This window comes from Homo sapiens, chromosome 3 (genome assembly GCF_000001405.40).
Source record: "Homo sapiens chromosome 3, GRCh38.p14 Primary Assembly".
NCBI classification, from domain to species: Eukaryota; Metazoa; Chordata; class Mammalia; order Primates; family Hominidae; genus Homo; species Homo sapiens.
This window is the reverse complement of record NC_000003.12, coordinates 174,873,873-174,895,803: the sequence shown is the minus strand read 5'-3', so window position 1 is coordinate 174,895,803 and position 21,931 is coordinate 174,873,873. Positions and strand designations below refer to the sequence as shown.

Sequence of the window (21,931 nt, the reverse complement as noted above, 5' to 3'; positions counted from 1 at the left end):
TTTCTTGAGGATTTTTTATTCAATATTTATCAGAGTTATTGGCCTGCAGTTGTTTGTTTGTTTGCTTTCGTTTTTTTGTTTTGATGTATTTGTCTGGTTTTGATATCAGGGTGATAATGGCCTCATACAATAAGTTTGGAAGTATTTCCTCCTCCTCTCTTCTTGAGTGTAGTTTGAGTAGGATTGGTGTTCGTTATTCTTCAAATATTTGGTAAAATTCAGCAGTGAAGCCATCAGGTCCCAGGCTTTTCTTTACTGGAAGAATTTGTATTATGGCTACCATCTCATTACTTGTTATGAGTCTGTTCAGGTTTGGGATTTCTTCCCAGTTCAATCTTGGTAGGTTGCATGTATCTAGTAATTTGTCAGTTTCTGCTAGATTTTCCAATTTATTGGCGTACAGCTGCTCATAGTAGCCACTAATGATCCTTTAAATTTCCACAGCATCAGTTGTAATGTCTCCTTTTTCATTTCTATTTTTACTTTTTTTAGATCTTCTCTCTGTTTTTCTTAATCTGGCTAAAATTTTGTCAATTTTTTTTTAAGTTTTCAAAAAACCAACTCTTTGTTTCATTGATCTTTTGTATTGTTTATTTCATTTTAATTCCATTTATATCTGCTCTGATCTTTATTATTTCTTTTCTTATACTAATTTTGGGTTTGGTTTGCTCTTCCTTTTCTAGTTCTTTAAGATGCACCAATACATTGTTTATTTAAAGTTTTTCCTCTTTTTTGATGTAGGCACTTAAAGCTATAAGCTTATCTCTGTGTACTGCTTTTGCTGTATACCATAGGTTTTGGTATGTTGTATTTTCATTATCATTTGTTTCAAGATATTTATCACTTTCCTTCTTGATTTCTTTATTGACCCACTGCTCCAGGAGCATATTGTTTAATTTCCCTGTATTTGTATAGATTCTGAAACTCCTCTTGTTATTTCTAGTTTCATTCTATATTTTTCAGAGAAGATGTTTGATATTATTTCAGGTTTTTGAATGTTTTAAGACTCTTGTGATCTAAAACATGGTCTGTTTTTGAGAATAATCCATGTGCTGAGAAAAAGAGTGTGTATTCTGCAGTTCTTGGATGAAATGTTCTGTAAATATCTATTAGATCTATGTTGTCTATACTGCAGATTACACCTGATGTTTCTTCACTGATTTTTTTTTTTTTTTTTTTTTTTTTTTTTTTTTTTTTTTTTTTTTTTTTGAGACGGAGTTTCACTCTTTTTGCCCAGGCTGGAGTGCAGTGGCATGATCTCGGCTCATTGCAACCTCCGCCTCCCAGGTCCAAGCGATCCTCGTGCCTCAGCCTCCCAAGTGTCTGGGACCACAGGTGTGCACCACCACGCCCAGTTAATTTTTTTTGTATTTTTAGCAGAGATGGGGTTTCTCCATGTTGGCCAGGCTGGTCTCAAACTCCTGACCTCAGGTGATCCACCCGTCTTGGCCTCCCAAAATGCTGGGATTACAGGCGTGAGCCATTGTGCCCGGCCTGATTTTCTATCTGGAAGATCTGTCCAGTGCCAGAAGTGGGGTGTTGAAATCTCTTGTTCTTATTGTAGAAGACCTATTTATCTGTACAGCTCTATTAATATTTACTTTATATATCTGGGTGCTCCCATATTGGGTGCATATATATATTTAAAATTGTTGTATCATCTTGCTGAATTAACCCCTTTAACATGATATAGTGACTTTTTTCCCTCTTCTTATAGTTTTTGTCTTAAAATCTAATTTCTCTAAGTACAGTGACTCCTGGTCTTTTTGGTTTCCATTGACAAGAAATATCTTTATTTTCAGTCTATATTTGTCTTCACAGGTAAAGTGTTTCTTGTAAGCAACCAATCAATGGGTCTTGTTTTTGTAAATCCATTTGGGCTGTCTACATTTTTGTATTGGAGAGTTTAGTCCATTTTCATTCAATGTTATTATTAATAAGTTAGGGCTTAGTCCTGCCATTTTGTGATTTGTTTTCTGGCTGTTTTGTGGTCTTCTCTTTCCTCTTTCATTCCTGTTTTCTTCTAGTAAAGATGATTTTCCCTGGTGATATAATTTAGTTTCCTGCTTTGTATTTTTTGTGTACTCATTCTATCTTTTTTATTTATTGGTTGAGGTTACCATGAGGCTTGCAAATACTATTTTATAACCCATTATTTTAACCTGATAACAATCTAACACTATTTGCATCAATAATCAATCAAATAAGCACAAAGGAAACTAAGAAAAACTCATGTTAATTACATGCAACACCCTTTTTAACTTTTTGTTTCTTCTATTTGCATCTTATTGTACTGACTATGTCTTGAAAAGTTGTTGTAGCTATTATTTTTGATTGGTTCCTCATTTAGTCTTTCTACTTAGAATTATAATAGTTTACACACCACAGCTACAGTGTTATCATAGTCCGTGTTTTGCTGCGTACTTACTATTACAAGTTTTGTACCTTCAGGTGATTATTTATTGCTCAATAATAACTTTTTGCGGGGGGGGGTTGAAGTACTCCCTTTGATATTTCTTGTAGGATGGGTCTGGTATTGATGAAATCCTTCTGCTTTTGTTTGGGAAAGTCTTCATTTCTCCTTCATGTTTAAAGGATATTATTGCCAGATATACTACTCTAGTTTAAAAGTTTTTGTCCTTCACCTCTTTAGATATGTCATGCCACTCTTCTGGCCTGTAAAGTTTCCACTGAAGAGTCTGCTGCCAGACATATTGGAGGTCCACTTTAAGTTATTGTTTCTCTTCTCTTGCTGCTTTTAGAATCCTTTCTTTATCCTTGACCTTTGAGAGTGTGATTATTAAATGTGTTGAGTTAGTCATATCTGGGTTAAATCTGCTTGGTTTTCTACAACTTTCTTGTATTTTTTTTTTTTTTTTTTTGAGTTGGAGTCTCACTCTCTAGCCCAAGCTGGAGTGCAGTGGTGTGATCTTGGCTCACTGCAACCTCCACCTCTCAGGTTCAAGTGAGTGTCACACCTCAGCCTCCCGAGTAGCTGGGACTACAGGCACATGCCACCACCTGGCTAATTTTTTGTATTTTAGTACAGATGGGGTTTCACCATGATGCCCAGGGTCGTCTCGAACTCCTGAGCTCAGGCAATCCACCCACCTCGACCTTCCTAAGTGCTGGGATTACAGGCGTGAGACACCGCATTGGAACTATAACTTTCTTGTAATTGGATATTGATATTTTTCTCTAAGTTTCAGAAGTTCTCTTATTCCTCTGAATAAATTTTCTATCCCTGTATCTTTCCATATATACTATTAAAGACCTTCAATAACTCTTAGATTTTTACCTTTTGAGGCTATTTTCTAGATCGTACAGATGTACTTTTTTTTGTCTTTTTTGTTTGTTTGTTTCCTCTGACAGTATATTTTCAAATACACTGGTTCAGAATTGCTGCTTCATTCTTTTTAATTATTTCAATATCTTCGTTTAATTTATCGGATAGAATTCTGAATTTCTTCTCTGTGTTGTCTTGAATGTCTTCAACTTTCCTCAACACAACTATTTTGAATTCTCTGTCTGAAAGGTCACATATCTCTGTTTCTCCAGGATTGGTCCTTGGTGCCTTATTTAGTAGATTTGGTGAGGTCATGTTTCATGGATGATGTTAATTCTAGTAGATGTTCTTCAGTGTCTGGATATTGAAGAGTTAGGTATTTATCGTAGTCTTTACCGCCTCATATTATTTGTAGCTGTTCTTCTTGGGAAAACTTTCTAGATATTTGAAAGAACTTGGGTGTTGTGAACTAAGCAGTTTCTGCTTTAGGGGGCACCCCAAGCCCAGGAATGCTGTGATTCATGCAGCGTTGTAGAGATACCTTGTTGTGGCTGAGCCAGTAACCAAGATGCAGGACAAAGTCCTCCCTACTCTTCCCTCTCTTCTCCTCAAGCAGAAGGAAGAAGTCTCTTTTGCAGCTTTGAGCTGTGCTGTCTGGGGTTAGGGAAGGGTTAATGCCAGCACTCTCTTGGCTGCCATACTTGGTGTCTCAGTATGTCATGTATTTCCCCGGTCCACTGCTTCTGGGTCAAGTTCAGCCCTGGGACTTGCCTAAGAGTTACAGTCCTTGTGGCAGAGACTGCCTTTCAAGTTTACTTAGAGACCAAGAGCACTTTGGACCTAAGTGGCAAGGATTGCCAGAACTCAAGTTCAGACCTGTGTGATCAGTGATTCCCCTCTGGCTAAGGCCCGGTTTTAATGTTCCCTCTGTAAGCGGTGTCAGCTGAGTTTGGTCTGGGTCTGCTTTCTGTGCCAACAGAACAGCACTGAGTTCAATGCCTCACAAATGTGTTCTCCCTCCTCCAGCACCCAGAGAGGCTCTCTGCACCATGCTGCTGCTGGGGGATGAGGGAGGGGTGGCATCAGTGACTCTGGACTGTTTTTTCTATATCTTCAGTTCTTCTTTCAGGGATACAAAGTTAAAACCAGGTACTGTGAGTGCTCACATGATTTGGGGTTCGTATAAGGTGTTTCTCTGTGTAGATAGTTGTTAACTTGGTATCCTTGTGGGTAAGGGATGATGATTGGTGGAGCTTTCTGTTTTGCCACCTTAGAGTGTATTCTAACATGCCAAAAATATTTTACTATTCTCAATTTTATTAAGAATGGTTACTAACATAAGCGAATGTTTCCCAACTAGTGAAATGTTGCGTTACTTATCTATTACTTAATAAAATGTATTATTACTGAAGACCTCCTTGCATTCCTGGTTAAGAGTATAATTTGTGATATGGAATTCATTTACAATATTTCTAGTTTCTATTTACTAGTATTTTTCTTAAGTAGTTAAGTATCTATATTTAGAAGAGATAGTTTCCTATCATAATAAAAAAATAATTTTCTTATTCATATATTATTATTTCCAAGAGACAGTAGCAATTAAGTAATGGCCAGAAAAAACTTTTTGAATATCTGAATTCCACAAGTGGTTGATTTTCACAAATAAAGAAATCAATATTTTTTATGATTTTCCTATCTTATATTTATTTAGTAATTATTGTTCACAGAATCAAGAAAAGCAGGAGTTTGACCACATACACCCTGTCAAATGATATATAAACAAACACTATCTGATATTATGCATATGTTAATGATTTGATGGAATATAAAGGTTCTCACACTTGTTTTTGGACTTTTCTTAGCTAATCCTTCTCAGGCAAGTTAGTTTTTGCCACACTGGGCAATTTGTAATTCCCTCAACCACTTCACCTTTCATATTTCTCTGTGCTTATTCATTCTACATCTTCATTATCAATTGTTCTGTCTGTATTTCTTATGTGGAAAAATACTTCTTTTTGCCTCTAAAAATCAACCTCAACAGTTAATTATTTAGCTTCCCCAATCAAAATATTTCTTTTATACAGCCATTTTATGCTACTATTATTTACATGTCTTTGATACTAGATTTTGAACTCATCCAGGATAAGAACAGTGTTCTATTTATTTTGCTATCTCCCAGAGAACTGTTCTCTGTATATAACAGGAGCTCATTAACTCCTACCACTCAATGAATGAATGGTATGAGATTCTCCATTTCAAATTTACCCTGTTCCTTATACTTCTCAATATATTGTAACTTCAACTAAATAATGTCAAATGCAGAAATTTCTTTTTCTTTATTACTATACATAATCTATTTCATTAAGATATTATGAGAGATTACTAGAAACGTCATCGTGATGGTTATAAACAATGTTCTAGAGTGATGGTACCGATATTATCTCAAGGACATTCATGGTCTCTAGCTCCCCTACAATTTGGAACCATGGCCTGAACTCATATGTAGCGTACTACAGCGAACTTCTCTACTTACTTCTTTTAAGAAACATTGAAGGGGAAAAATTCACACACTCACATCTGAGCTGCCAGTCCTCAGGGAAACTTGCTTTTTTATTTACCATAAACTGAAAAGAAACTTATTTCACAGTTGCTTTAGCATTAAGAAGACTGTCTGTTTACCCATTTGACAGAATTCTCATATAATCACATGAATGTTGATCTTAGTCAAATACAGGTATCAAGGAGGGAGAGAATCATAAGATCAGAAAAAGAATTAAAATAATCAATTGAATTTCTAGGAGGTCTCTTTTCTTCTTTCATGGAAAGGCAAGGCAATTTAGTCATGCCTTGTCAATTATTAGTGCCATTTTTTTTTTTAGTGCTTGGATTATACGATAAAATACTCTGTCATCTGGCTCTCAATGTTAAATCTGATTTTAGATTTTCCCTTTTCTTCACTGGAAGCAGAGAAGTGAGGATGGGGAATGAGAGATATAAGGGCACACACAGGGCAGACAGTGAAGCAGGGAAATAATAGCAATGGCGTCCAGCAGGAGAGGAAGCAGGGAACTAAAGGCAGGTGGTAGAATCACATGGCTACAAAAAGCCAGGTGTAAATCCCACATCCTTTTGTTTGTCTTTATTTAAAACCCTGAAGAAAAAGAAAAGAGAAGCAGTTAAAAGAGATTATAAAACAGCAAGGATTATAAACAATTTTATTGCCTAATAGACTAACAGCAGTTTAAAGTATGGTTGGGTCACCTAATGAAAACTCAAAGTAAAGGAAACATCATAAAGAATGTTAACATTTTAATATAAATACCTTGAATTTTCTAATGGTTTTTTGGTTTTGTATATGTTAGAAGACTGAGGGGCTTAGGCAAAGGGAAAATATATTTTGAAATTAAACAGAAGTTATCCACTACAATAAGGCACGAGTCACTGTAGAAATTATGAAACGTGTTTAAATAGTTATGTAGGGCCCTTGCAAGGTGCTACAGAATATATCAACTGCCTTCTCCAAAAGTTGTGCCTAATATATTATAGGAAACAATGACAAAGTTTTTTGAGATTCAAATCTGAACAAAGAGAATCAAATGGTTTTATTGTCACGCAACATTTTTAAACTGACAACACTGTAATAACTTGTGGTTTGCAGTTAACCAAGCAAATATTTTGACTCAATTTATATGTTTATGCCGATATGGTAAACACAATTCAAACAGCACCATAATAATACAGTATTTTGAAATCTGTTACCAACAAAACAAACCATATAATTACATATTTATGCTAGTTACTGCTAGACAATAGAACATAAGCACAGAATACAAATGCTCAGAGCGCAAGGTTGATAAGCTTGATAAAATAAATGCCCCGAATGATAGGAGTCACTACTTCAGATTCCTCGGATACCAGGCTCTCTCTTAGGGTCACGTTCTAACGTAAGCAAAGCCATCATTTTGTATGTGGAAATTAGAAATATGGGATGGAATAAAAACTATTGAAGAGCAACTTTAGAAGCAGCAGATGGAAAGTATTTGATCAACTTTGCGTGAAGTGAGCCTATTATTTCAGCTGAAGACTACTACATTCACCAATAACAGTAACCTATTTTTACAGTAGTAAGTGAGCATTTCCTGTCTTATATTGATCAAAATGGGAATCAACTCATGTCATTATTTCACTTTGTAGGCCTAATTACTTCTCTTTATACTTAGAATGTAATTCAAATTTGTAAGGCTGCAAAACCCTCTGTTGTATGGCCACTGCCTATTCTTCCACGACATCATTGCACAGCTCTCGTTTTTGTTGATAACATTCTAGACTCTGAATTTTTCTTTGTCAAAAAGTTTCAAGGTCTTGTCTCTTGCTGCAATTTTCTCTGCTAGGGATACTTTTTTCCCGTGATCCTCACATTGCTGGCTTATTTCATCATTTAGAAATCAGGTCAATATTATATCCTGTAAGACATCCACCCTGGCAATCGTATCCAAAGCGATCAGCTTTCCTTATACACTCCCTCTCTATCCCATGACCTCATTATTTTTTATAACTTTGATCATCAGCTGATATAATCTCATTTCTGTATTTTTATTTATTGTCTATCTTACTTTTGTTAAAATGCAAGCTCCATGACAACAGAAATATTATATGTATTTTTCATCACTATATCCACATGTAAAAAAAAAAAAAAGATGCTCAAGCAAAAATAATTTTTTTGAGACAGGGTATCGCTCTGTTGCCCAAGCTGGAGAACAGTATTGTGAAATGGCTCCCTGCAGCCTTGACCACTTGGGCTCAAATGATCTTCCTGCTTTAGCCTACTGAGTAGCTGAAACTACAGGTGTGCACCACCAAGCCCGACTAATTTTTTTAAGTTTTTTGTAGAGATGAGATCTTGCCATGTTGCCCAGGCTGGTCATGAACTCCTGGGCTCAAGCAATCCTCCCACCTCAGATTCCAAAATTGCTGGGTTTATGGATGTGAGCCACCATGACTGGCTGTCAGAAAATACTTAATAGATGAGTATGTCATAATTCACTTTTAAATTAAACTCAGAAAATGAATAACAAGGATAAATTTGAAGAATGTATATGGTGACCTACTAATAAACAGAACATATATAATTGATTAATACCATTAATAAAGAGATTAATAAACATATAATCTCTTTATATATCAATTATTATATATGTTCAAGAAGCAAGCAAGTATGTAGTTAAGTGATAATGACATTGATAAGGTTAACAAAGATCATCTAAATTACATTTAACTAATTAGACAATTTTAGTGTTCAGTGCTGTAGAGCAGGCAAAAAGGAAGATGCCTAAAACAAACTTCTAGACTTCAATGAGTGGCCATCTAGGACAGCAGCAAAATAATAGCAAAGGAAATCAGGCTGTAGAAGGCTAGGCAGATGGCAGGCAAGAAGATGGAAGCTCCTTATATAAGCTACAGCATCAGAGTTTTGGTACTAATTGAAGAGAGAGTTATAGCTTGATTATTAGAGTAGAAATACAGCTGAAAAATGTACCCACGTTTGTCTGTTGTTTATTTGATTGGAGGATTTACTTCTTTGCTTACTGTGAAGGGAAAAGAGAGTGAGTGGAGTACTTTTTAAAGACATGGCCAAAGGACCCAATAGAAATGAAATGATAATATAAAAGGAGAAGTAGGTAGACATGGCTCAGTGTCAGCTGGAACCCAATTAAGATTTACATTTAAAATATAGGGTTAAATTTCCACCACTCATTTTTGCTATTATCAACTTCACCTAATAGCATTCACCCTTTTTAAAGAGGCTTATAGATGCATGGGAGAAAAATGAATATCGCTTTGAAAAGTGTATTTGTATTTCAAATCATTAAAACAGAGTCTGGCACCAGGAGAATATAGCTATTCCAGTAAAAATGGTGATAAAATGAATCATTCTTAACTCTTCTTTCCTTGGTCATTATCAAATATTTAAAATATATAAGGACACCTCATGGCAAGTGTGATGGTTAATACTGAGTGTCAACTTGATTGGATTGAAGGATACAAAGTATTGTTCATGGGTGTGTCTGTGAGGGTGTTTCCAGAGGAGATTAACATATGAGTCAGTGGGCTGGGAAAGGCAGACCCACCCTTAATCTGGGTGGGCACAATCTAATCAGCTGCTAGCATGGCTAGAACATAAGCAGGCAGAAAAAATATAAAAAGAGAGACTGGCCTAGCCTCCCAGCCTACATCTTTCTCCTGTGCTGGATGCTTCCTGCCCTCAAACACTGGACTCCAAGTTCTTCAGTTTTAGAACTCCGACAGGCGGGGCATAGTGGCTCATGCCTGTAATCCCAGGACTTTGGGAGGCCAAGGTGGGTGGATCATGAGGTCAGGAGATCAAGACCATCCTGGCTAACATGGTGAAACCCCATCTCTACTAAAAATACAAAAAATTAGCTGGGCGTGGTGGCAGGTGCCTGTAGTCCCAGCTACTCAGGAGACTGAGGCAGGAGAATGGCGTGAACCCAGGAGGCGGAGCTTGCAGTGAGCCTAGATTGAGCCACTGCACTCCAGCCTGGGCAACAGTGGGAGACTCCATCTAAAAAAAAAAAAAAAAAAAAAAAAAAAAAAAAAAAAAAAAAAAAAAAAAAAAAAAACAACTCGGACTGGCTCTCCTTGCTCCTCAGCAGATGGCCTATTGTGGGAACTTGTGATTGTGTGAGTTAATACTTAATTTTTATGCTAGTTACTGCTAGACTATATTATATATTCCATTAGTTTTGTCCCTCTAGAGAACCCTGACTAATACAGATTTTGGTACCAGGGGTGCTTCTAGAGGAACAGAATATTAAGGATGGAGTTCTTTTGTAAGTTTTGGGGTTTCTGGAGTTGGCTGCTTAATATGATTAGACCCCAAAATGCAAAGAACTCTACTTCTAATAGTATGGAGTACACTGATACTCCTTGGCATAAACTGTTTAGAGAATTACACAAAATAATTGCATTTGACACTCTTGATTCATCATTCGTGGGAGGCAAGGAGTTTAGTGACTCTATACATAATACCTTTGACCATATGTGGAGAACCAAGGAACATAATGAAGCTGCTTGGTTGCCCCTAAGCTCAGTGGACAAAGTGATGAAAGAAAATGATGAACTCAGCGATTCTTCTCCCGGCTTCAGAAGCAGATACTGAGCCTCAAATCTGCTAAAATTGCCCTGAATGAGAGTCTTATCTCCTACAGACAAAGAGCTGAAATTGTGGAAAAACAGACACAAGATCTTATCATGCGAGTGGCCGACCTGCAATGAAAGGTGCATGCACAGCCTCACCAGGTGTCTACTGAGGGCATTGATTGGGAAAGAATGGGACCCTACAACTTGCAATTGGGATATGTGTGAGGACCCTAATGACAATGGGGACACTGAGGTTGTAAACTGTGATGAAACTTTTTTGCCAGAAGAAACAACTTCCCCATCCCCAGCAGAGGCAACATCCCCTCCCTGACTCATGCTGCCATCAGCCTTTCCACCTTTGACTGAGGAGATAAACACTGTGCTGCCTGAGACAACAGTGATGGCCTCCCCTGAGGCAGTTTCCAGGCAAGAAAATGTGGATTCTCCTCAGGAGCCACCCCCAACACTCCTGTTTACCTCTAGACCTATACTAAATTCCTGGCGGGCCCCTAGAGATGAGGTTGAGAGTGTCACCTCTGAGGAGGTGTGCTATACTCGAAAAGAACTGCTTGAGTTTTCTAATTCATATAAACAGAAATCTGGAGAACAGGCATGAGAGTGTATATTAAGGGTGTGGGATAATGGTTGAAGAAATACGGAGTTGGATTAGGCTGAATTGATGGATTCAGGCCCACTAAGTAGGGACTCTGCATTTAACGTTGCAGCTCCTAGACACTTATTCCAGATATGGATTTGCCTATCCTGCACACAATGCTTCTGCCAAGACTACCATCCGTGGACTCATAGAATGTCTTATCCACGATCATGGTATTCCACACAGCATTGCCTTTGACCAAGGCACCCACTTTACAGCTAAAGAAGTGTGACAATGGGCTCATGCTCATGGAATTCACTGGTGCTACCACATTCCCCATCATCCTGAAGCAGCTGGATTGATAGAATGGTGGAATGGCATTTTGAAGTCACAATTACAATCCCAACTAGGTGACAATACTTTTCAGGGCTGGGACACAAAGTTCTCCAGAAGGTCACATATGCTCTGAATCAGCGTCCAACATATGGTACTGTTTCTTTCATGGCCAGGGTTCATGGGTTCAAGAATCAAGGAGTGGCAGTGGAAGTGGCACCACTCATCATTACCCCTAGTGATCCACTAACATTTCTGCTTCCTGTTCCCATGACATTACATTCTGCTGTCCTAGAGGTCTTAGTTCCAGAGGGAGGAATGCCGCCACCAGGAGACACAATGATGATTCCATTGAATTGGAAGTTAACATTGCCACCTGGACTCTTCGGGCTCCTCCTACCCTTAAGTCAACAGGCTAAGAAGGGAGTTACAGTATTGGCTGGGGTGATTGGCCCAGACTCTCAAGATGAAATCAGCCTACTACTCCACAGTGGAGGTAAGGAAGAGTATGCATGGAATACAGGAGGCCCATTAGGGGGTCTCTTAGTATTACCATGCCCTATGTTTAAGGTCAATGGGAAATTACAACAGCCCAATCCAGACAGGACTACAAAAGACCCAGACCCTTCAGGAATGAAGGTTTGGATCACCCTACCAGGAGAAAAACCACAACCTGCTGAGGTGCTTGCTGAAGGCAAAGGGAATACAGAGTGGGTAGTAGAAGAATGTAGTCATCAATACCAGCTACAACCACGTGACCAGCTGCAGAAACGAGGGCTGTAATTGTCATGAGTATTCACTCCTTCTTTTGTTAAAAAACATGTTTGTGCATGTATACACTTGTACTAAGAAAATATCTTCATTTTATTTCCTTTCTCCATTATCATGTGACATAAGATTTATTGACTTCACATCAGCATTTAAGTATTGCTAGCTTTATGTAATAGTATTTGGGTTGGGGATCAGTGCATTTCCGCTTGTATGAAGGATAGTTGTGTCATGTTAGGCGTAATTATGACCTTCTTATTGTCTTTATTTGAAGATTATGAAGATTATGAATGATCTCAAGAGATGTGTATGGATTCAGGTTGACAAGCGGTGGACTTGTGATGGTTAATACTGAGTGCCAACTTGAGTGGACTGAACGATACAAAGCATTGCTCCTGGTGTGTTTCTGTGAGGGTGTAGCCAAAGGAGATTAACATTTGAGTCAGTAGGCTGGGAAAGGCAGACCCCCCCTTAATCTGGGTAGGCACAATCTAATCAGTGGCTAGCATGGCTAGAATATAAGCAGGCAAGAAAATGTGAAAAGATACACTGGTCTAGCCTCCAAGCCTACATCTTTCCCCCATGCTGGATGCTTCCTGCCCTTGAACATCGGACTCCAAGTTCTTCAGTTTTGGATCTCGGACTGGCTTTCCTTGCTCCTTAGCCTACAGACGGGCTATTGCGAAACCTTGTGATCATGTGAGTTAATGCTTAATAATCTGCCATATATATACATATATATACAAACATATATATACACATATATATACATATATACACATATACACATATACACATATGTATATATACACATATGCACATATACACACGTGTATATATACACATATGCACATATACACACGTGTATATATACACATATGTATATATACACGTGTGTATATATACACGTGTGTATATACACATAGATACACATATACACATATATGTGTAGATACACATGTATATACACGGATACACATATACACATATGTGTATATGCACATATGTGTATATGCACATATGTGTATATGCACATATATGCATATGCACATATATGTATGTGTATATACACATATGTGTATAAGCACATATGTATATATACACATATGTACATATGTGTGTATGCATATATGTGTATATGCACATATGTATATACACATATATGTATATGCACATATGTATGCATACACATATGTATATATGTATATATACACACATATATACACACACACACAACACACATACACAATATACATTATATTAGTTCCGTTCCTCTAGAGAACCCTAATATATCAAGTTAACTATTTTGTGTCCTTTTCTAATTGTTTCATGGCCATATTATTAGTCAAAAAAGAAAAATAAAAACCTCTTACCTCCCTATAATTAGTGACTAAAACCTATTTTTAAAGTTCTTCACATAGTTTTGCATTTTTATAAAGGAACTGCCACAGAGATACAAAGAGAACAAGTGGGTTGATTAGGAAAATCAGTGGTAAATTAGAAGGCTGGAAAATTCAAATATCTTACTTAACGTAAGTGGAATATCACATGTTCTGTAACACCTTAAATACAAGAAAGAAGTTTCTTTTCTGACTTATTCTCAAAAACTATTAAAGCTATACAAAACAGGGACCAAATCTTGTTCTTATGCCTAAAATCTATCACTGTAAAAGCATTTTAGATAAATACATATCATTAAATAATTTGATTATTCATTCACCAAAGGCCTTTCCCCAAATCTGAAACATCTGAAATAAAACATAACAGTAGATCTACAAGATATGTTAAACTGCATTTCTCCATATATCTCTCTTTGAAATTGCATTTCTCTCTTGTTCTCTGCACATACTTATCCGACCCAGATTTCTAGAGAATGTTCCTGAGGTGAGCAGCATAAGAAGATGCTCAAATATTTATTGAGTACCTACTATATGCCAGTGACTATTCTAGGAGCTTGGGATACATCCAGGAATAAAACAGGTAAATACTCAAACATGCTGCCCGCATGGAGTACAAGTTGGATAGACAAAGACAAACAATAAAAACAAGCATAATAAACAAGTAAATAATAAACCAACAAACATAAAGTCTTGAAAATTTTCCTCTAAGTTTTCTATCAACCAGTTTGGGAGCAAACACTGACCTGAACTAATATAAACCTACTTACATATTTTATTTATCCCAAATGCAAATAGCCATGTTTCACCACAGAAACGTGAGTAAATTTGATTATGGTATGATGCCCCAAGCCCTATTGAGGCTATTGTGTAATATGTTTTGTGTACCATATAATCTTCCTAAAACCTGAAAAATTTTAAAACACAAAATGTTCAAAATCCCAAAGATTTTGAGTAACTTATTGTAGAATTAATGTAAAAAGTAGAGTGGAGAAGGGAGATTGCAATCCTAAACAGACAGTCTGTTAATATAAATGAAATATCATATGTTCCATGCTAAGCTTAATGATATGGTTTGAATGGCAGCTCCTCAAAGGATATGTCCACCTGGAGCCTATGATTTTTGACCTTATTTGAAAACAGGGTCTTTACAGAAGTAATAAAGGATCTGACATGAGATTATCTTGGATTTAGTGTGGGTTCTGAATCCAGCAATAGGTATCCTTAAAAGAGAAGAACAGAAGGAGAGTTAAGACCCAGATAAAAAGACAGGAAGGTCATGTGAAGACAGTGGCAGATATTAGAGTTCTTCAGCTTCAAGCCAAGGAATTCCAAGGATTGCCATCAGCCACCAGAATCTAAGAGAAGGGGCATGATATAGATTCTTCCTCAGAGCCTCAATATGGATCTAACCCAATCAATACCTTGGTTTCAGATTTCTGCCCTTCAGAATTATGAGAAAATAAGCATCTATTGTTTTAAGGCCCTCAATTTGTAGAAATGTGTTACAGCAGCCTGAAGAAACGAATATATCTAATTAAGAAGTAATATTTGAGAAAAGACTTAAAGAAGGTGAAGGAGTAAAGCCAAAAGCAGACCTATGAGAAGGATAATCTAGGCGGAGGGAAGAGCTAGTTTAAAGCCCTAAAGTAGAAGCACCTCAGTCATGTTCTAAGATGGTCATTGAGTCTGTGTTGAGAGATGCAAGGGTAGAAGTAAGGTAACCCATCAGAAGACTAGTCAGATATTGCAAACAAGAAATGATGGCAATCAAGACCAGAGGGCGTTAGTGAAAGTGAAAAAAATAAATCAAAATCTGGATGTATCTGAAGACAGAGACATTGCATTTCCAAAGGGACTAAATGTAAAGAAGGGTATAATTTTACGGTTTTTGTTTTTGCTTGTTTTTACTTGAGTTTTTTGTTTTGTTTTGTTTTAGGCTGAGCAACTGGAAATGAGTTACTTCCAACTGAGATGTGCAATGCCAGAATAGGTTTGGGAGAGACTATCAGGAGTATAGCATAGTTTGAGATGTTTAATCATACCCAGGTAGATACGTTGAGTACATAATTGGCCATAGGACTCTAGGGTTTCAAGAATGGCCAGGACTGAAACTGAGAGTTGAGAATCATCGATATAGAGCTGATAGGTCACAAGGGAGGAATGGAAGCCAGAGAGGATCATGGGTTGAGCCCCGGGGCACTCCAATATTAAGAAAGCAGGTATAACAGGGTAAAACAGCAAAGGAGATTAACAAGGAGTGACTAATAAATTAGGGGCAAAGCAAGACAGCACAGTACCCGAAGACCAGGGATACAGGGAGGATGAAGTAACCAATACTGTCAAGTGTTGCTCATAGATCAAGCAGGAAGAAGATTGAGAATTTACTAATGAATTTGAGAACATGAAGGTAATTAGTGACGCTGATAAGAGAAGCTTTGGGTATAGTTGGAGCAAATGCTTGATGAAAATGGGCTTCAGATAAAATATGAGGGGAGAAATAAGAACAATTATTTAAAGGGGTTTTGCTACAAAGAAGAGTAAGAAAAATGGGACTGTAGTTTAGGAGATGAGTAGTGAGGCCAAAAAAAATTATGAATATCTCATTCACCTGAAGTTATAAATGTTGATTTTTAATTCTTTTGAAGCAAGTACTTACACAAAATATATTTTTCTATGTATTAAAATCTAATACATTGAAATCAAAACATCATATGAAAAGAAAATTAATTTACATTTCAAAATTATGAATGAGGCATTTACCTCCGTAGGAAAAAATCATAAAATTATTTTAAAACTGTATGTTTTGAGGCCATAATCAGAGACAATTAAGAATATGTATATTAAAGACAAAGTCATTGAACATAAAGGACCTAATTCTTTCTGCTTTTAACTTGGAGACAGTATTGTGCCAATCTACAATGAAGGGGATAAACTAGGAAATTTGGCTTTGGCAAAATTAAGAAGGAGTAAAATTAGGCTTCTTCTTCATCTTTGCAATTAAAACTGTCTGTGGTCTGTAGTCAAGGTGTTCCTTAATAAGTAGATTTATCTTACTTATTCTCCATGCCACATTAACTAAGATGAATAAACTAAATATATAACGACAGATATTTAGGTACGAAAAAAATACCTTGAAAGCTCTACTTCTGCACTGGAAGGCTAGTTAAGCTTGTATAACCTTGAAAAATACAATGTTGTTTTGGCTTGTCCTGTACTGGAAAAGCTATAAATTTTTTCTTCTGTAGGGCTACACAAAATAACGTTAGCTAAATATGCGTACTGAGATTGAAGAAAGACAGTAATACAGAATTTTATACAAGTATTCAAGGCCAATAAAGGCCTGCATGGCGTCGGCATATTGGGTCCTCTTCTTCACTATACACATTCTTTTTATTATTGTTTTGAATGACAAATAATCACATGGCCCCTTTTCAATTTAACAGGATTTTTTTATCTCACATGTCTTCTGAGGTATGAAAAAAAGTCAGATGTCAAATATGATGTCTTTAATGAACAGCAGAAGGGGTGGGGTCTATAGGAAACCAGAATTAACCTATCCTTGCTGCAGTGTACAGGGGCAAATAGAAAAGAGCGGCAGAACAGATATTGAGCTTACTGCCAACAAGAAAAAAATTCAAGAGGGATTTAGAATCATTTCATCTCCATAAATGGATTAAACAACAATCATAGACATTAGGTGCAGAGCAATATAAGAAATGTAATCCCAGGAAGCAAAACCTATAAATTAAGGTAGTTTTAAAAGCCAAATCCAAAACATGTAGGTTTTTGCAATGGTTTGGATTCTTCATAGCAACATAGTTGCTCACGCAGTTTTAAGTAGTTCTAGTTGGCTAGGCCATACATTTTGTCAGAAGACAATGATTCAACAGGTTGGCCAAATCCCACTGAGTAGACTCATTGAGGTAGAGAAAAAAATTGCTCAGAAAAAAATGGCATTAACTAATATATAGAAATCTTTCATCTGAGTTCTCAATTTGACAATCAATAACTTACTACACACTCAGTTTAAACGTTGTGTCTAATCATATAAATTTTTCTCAAAATACTTTATGAAATTTGCTTGTTTTCAAAGGTCTTGATAGATTGTGCCTATACATTTACCACATTATATATTTAGAGTTAATTGAAAAGCTATTTCAAAATCAGACACGATGTAACCAAATTTTAGAGGTCCATGTATATCACTGTTTTCTTTGTTAAGTTCATTTTCTGCCAAATATATACATAGAAAGCTAATATTTAAGTACACTCTGGTTTTGGAAGTGCCCTAATAAGCCACCATCTCTAACTACATGAGTCTCCACTATATCATCCCTAACCAGTTATTCCACTTATGCTGGGCTATAATTGTTTGTAAGGAATTTGCTATCTTATGATAGTGAGTTTCTATTTTTCTTATGGGGAAAAATCGTATCATCTTTAAACTATGCAAAAACCCTTCCGTACTTTCAGCTAAATAAAGTCGTTTGATTTCTAGCTGCTATCCATTGGTCTTACTGCTTCTCCCTTGCAATGCTATTTAACAATTCTTTAATCCATATTCTACATCACCTGTCTTCAAATACTTTAAGATAGCTATAGACACTTAACAGTTATAACTCTTAAACCTAAGGAAGCTGTATTTTTAATACTGAGTGGATAAAACTCAAATGAATCCTAAAAATCAAAGTTAAAAGTTAATGAAATTCCTGGAGCTAAGTGGTTATATTTAAAATGATGTTTTTCTTTGTTGTTGGATTTGGGGGTATGGCAGAGATGTGAGAGCCTTTTCTGAATGCCTGAAATAGGGAGAATTGAGAATGGAATGGAGATTGAAGTAATGTCTATCTATTTCATATGCTGATTTATGAAAGAAGGCCTCAATTAAAGATAACGGAAGGATCACTTTAATTAATCCCTAAGGATACACTGGCCAGCTTCATAAGTTTGTTAACCATCAGTACTGAATTACTGAGATCTCAAGTTTGGTGCATAGATATCTACATAGATGTAAAATATATGAAAATAAACCTAAAAGGTAAGCGTCTAAGTAGCTTCTTTGAATAGCACAACTTATGGACTGAATGTTTGTCTCCCCCCAAAATGCATATTTTGCAATTTTAAGCAGTTTCAGCTGGCTAAACTAAATGTGATGGTATTTAAGGTTGAGACCTTTTGGTGATAATTAGGTTTAAATAGTCTTGGGGTTGTGGCCCTCATAATGAGATTCATGTTTTATAAAAAAGAAGAAGAAAGCCCAGTGCTTTCTCTCCTGGCCATGTAAGAAAAATGCAAGAAGTTGGCCATCTGCAAGCCAGGAAGAGAGCCCTCACCAAATCTACATTTGCTAATGCCTTAATCTTGAATTTCCCAGCTTCCAGAATGGTGGAAAATAAATATCTATTGTTTAAACCATCTAATCTATGGTATTTTGTTTTAGCAGCCCAAGCCAACTAAGAACACAAGAAATATCCCTGCCACAAATTCCTCCTCTATGGGCTATCTCACAAAGATGGCTGTTGAAATTCAATATAACAGACAAGGATAATAAATCATTAACAAAGTCAAAAGAATCCATTTAGCTACAAAGATTCTCAGTCTGTGGAATTGCTGGTGGTACCTCGTAAATGAGGAAAAACTAAAGAGGAGGGTGGAATAGTATGAACTCATTACTTTAAATATTGACAGTTGTCATCCAGTAATATTTTTGAAGGACACAGAGCAGATGATATCACACAAAACTGTATCTCCTACCTATGCGTATAATTCTACCATTACAAATATTTTATAAACATTTACTGTGAACAATTTTGTTGGTTCATTTTATGCAGAAGTATTATAAGAAGGTTATGTGGTGGGAGGGACAGAGGGGAAAAGAGCTAGAGGATGGTTAGCCATGGAAGAAAGGAAATGTAGCAAACAAGTTGAAGAGTAAAAAACAAACAAAGAAAATATCAACAGCTTCATGGTTTTTTCAACGGGTCCTGTCTCTCTGTTTTGCTCTTACAGAGCCTTAGAATAAGAGTTCAGATCCTATTCGCTATCCTTTCCTAGCTTTACACATATAATAACAAAGAGAGAAGATTTTTATTGTATTTTGTGCAGAATGTATTATGCTGCTAAAGTCCAAGATTATTTGTGCTGTTAACATCTGATCACATAAAACGAATATACACTGTACATTATAGTAGATATGATGGAAATAAACCTGGTTAAAATACTGTTTTGTATAATTCTTGAAATATGCATTTTAGTTTTCCCTCAAAAAAAAAAACAAGGTTTCACTTTTATCTATCTTTTAAGTTGATTACTCATAATAGGAAATTTTTAAAAATTAAATTATTACTATAAGCATGATTGAGGTATTTTTCATTTCTCCTAAGCATTTATCACTCTCAGATTTGGCTTTAATGGTCCATGTAAAATGAAAAATAGGCAAATAACATTCCACCTTAATCGTTACCAGCAAGATATTACTTTAAGACTGCTTTTAAATGCTTATGAAAAAATGCCAAAAATTATTTTTTGTTACAATGTTATAAACACAGATTTTAGTTATTTTAGTCATAAATTAAGGGACACACATTTTTTTTCTTTCTTAGAAAATAAGATATATTTCTGTTTCTCTGGAGAAAAGCAAATATGTTTCAACAGGAATATATTAGGATGTAAAGTGAATTACACAATTTTAAATATAGAAAGAACTTTAGAAATCATTTTAATGCTGTTGAGATTACTGATTACTATCAAAATCTGACAAAACCTATGAACTCTGTCTCTTAAAAAAGGTACATAAACATAAAAATTCTTAATCTGGGGTCTGTCAACCAGTGGTTCATACTAGAAGTCCATATTCCTCCTGTATTTCTATGCAAATATATGTATGTGTGTACATAGTAAACAACTATTTTATTTACCCTCCAAAGTCTACTCTTTTCACTCCTGCTTTTTTATCATTTTTGAAAATAAATAAATAATGCAATGACATTTATATTGTTTATTTTCTTACATGTAAAATAAGTCAGAAATCCTAGAATTGGAGAGGTTGATAACATGAACTAAATGTGTTCGTTAAATTGGATGACTGAATTATATTGCATTTTTTTCGCCAATCGTGATTTTTTTTTTTTTTTTTTTTTTTTTTTTTTGAGACAGGGTCTCATTTTGTCACCCAGGCTGGAGTGCAGTGCTGCAATCACAGCTCACTTCAGCCTTGACCTCCTGGGCTCAAACAATCCTCCCACCTCAGCCCCCAAATAGCTGGGACTATGGGTGCATGCCACCACGTCCAGCTAATTTTTTTGTTTTTGTAAAGATAGGGTCTCACTATATTGCCAGGCTGGTCTCAACCTCCTTGGCTCAAGGGATCCTTCTTCCTCACCCTCCCAAAGTGCTAGGATTAGCGGTGTGAGCATCTATCATGAATTTTAACAAAGCAGACTCTCACTGTCCTGGCAGCTTAATGAGTTGTTCAGCAGTCAAATAATCACACTGTTCAAGACACATGTGTATTTCATCTACTCATAAAAATAGGACATTTGTAAAATATTTAAGTAGCAAAAAAAATATACCTTGAATTGCAATGTACTTCATTTATGTAAAGACTCCCAGTCAAGGTTATTTTTTCTTGAGTACTCACCTTCTCAATGATGCTTTTACACACGTATAGATTGCCCTCACACCCTAGAGCCCCAAGTATAATCTCTTGAGGCCAATACTTGCCATGACATGTCACTCACATAAAATGCCTGCAGTCACATCACACATGTTTTGTCAGCCCTTACATTCTTAATCACTTTGAGGTGCACCTGCTGCAATGCAACCTGTCAATTTGGCAGGAAACAGGAATAGGAAATCCCCATGCTGCCTTATTGTCCACTATGCAAGTATTTTAACTTGGCACATTAAGTATCAGTAGGGGAGACTGTAGTCAAGAAGCATTGATATTCTGTTCTCATATAGGAGTAAATTCATGATGAGAATTTGGAGCTTTCCACAAAAGCAGTTCACTGAAAATGTAGATAACTTCTATAACATGTGCACATGTACTCACGTGCCATCTGGTGAACAGGCACAAAGCCTTAACTATATCGTACTCATGTACCAAGATGAAGTAAAAACAGCATACTACCATCCACTCTGTTTAAAATTTTGATAGCCTTATAACCCCACTGTAATCAGTGGGCTGGAGGCTTGTATTATGCCAGCCCAGGAAAAACAGCACTCCAGTAACTTAATGTTTGTTGGGCAAATATCATTAACTAATGCTTAAAATTCTCCAAACACACTAGTCATGCCAGTATGCCTTTGTACAACTGGTTTCTTATTCTTGAAATACCCTTTTCATTTATTTGATGGCAGAATTCTTTATTCCTTGAGGAGGAAGCA

General features: G+C 36.3%; 1 protein-coding gene and 1 long non-coding RNA gene across 18 annotated transcripts in view; both read right to left on the bottom strand.

Annotated features, from left to right (window-relative positions):
- NAALADL2 (N-acetylated alpha-linked acidic dipeptidase like 2) overlaps nucleotides 1-21,931 on the bottom strand; it is a 1,369,567-nt gene that overhangs the window by 914,745 nt on the left and 432,891 nt on the right. The window lies entirely within an intron of this gene.
- LOC107986027 (uncharacterized) lies at nucleotides 676-9,318 on the bottom strand. The gene is made up of 2 exons (XR_001740533.2): nucleotides 8,827-9,318; nucleotides 676-6,437 (listed from the first exon to the last, which is right to left on the bottom strand). It is a non-coding gene; the product is annotated as an uncharacterized LOC107986027 (long non-coding RNA).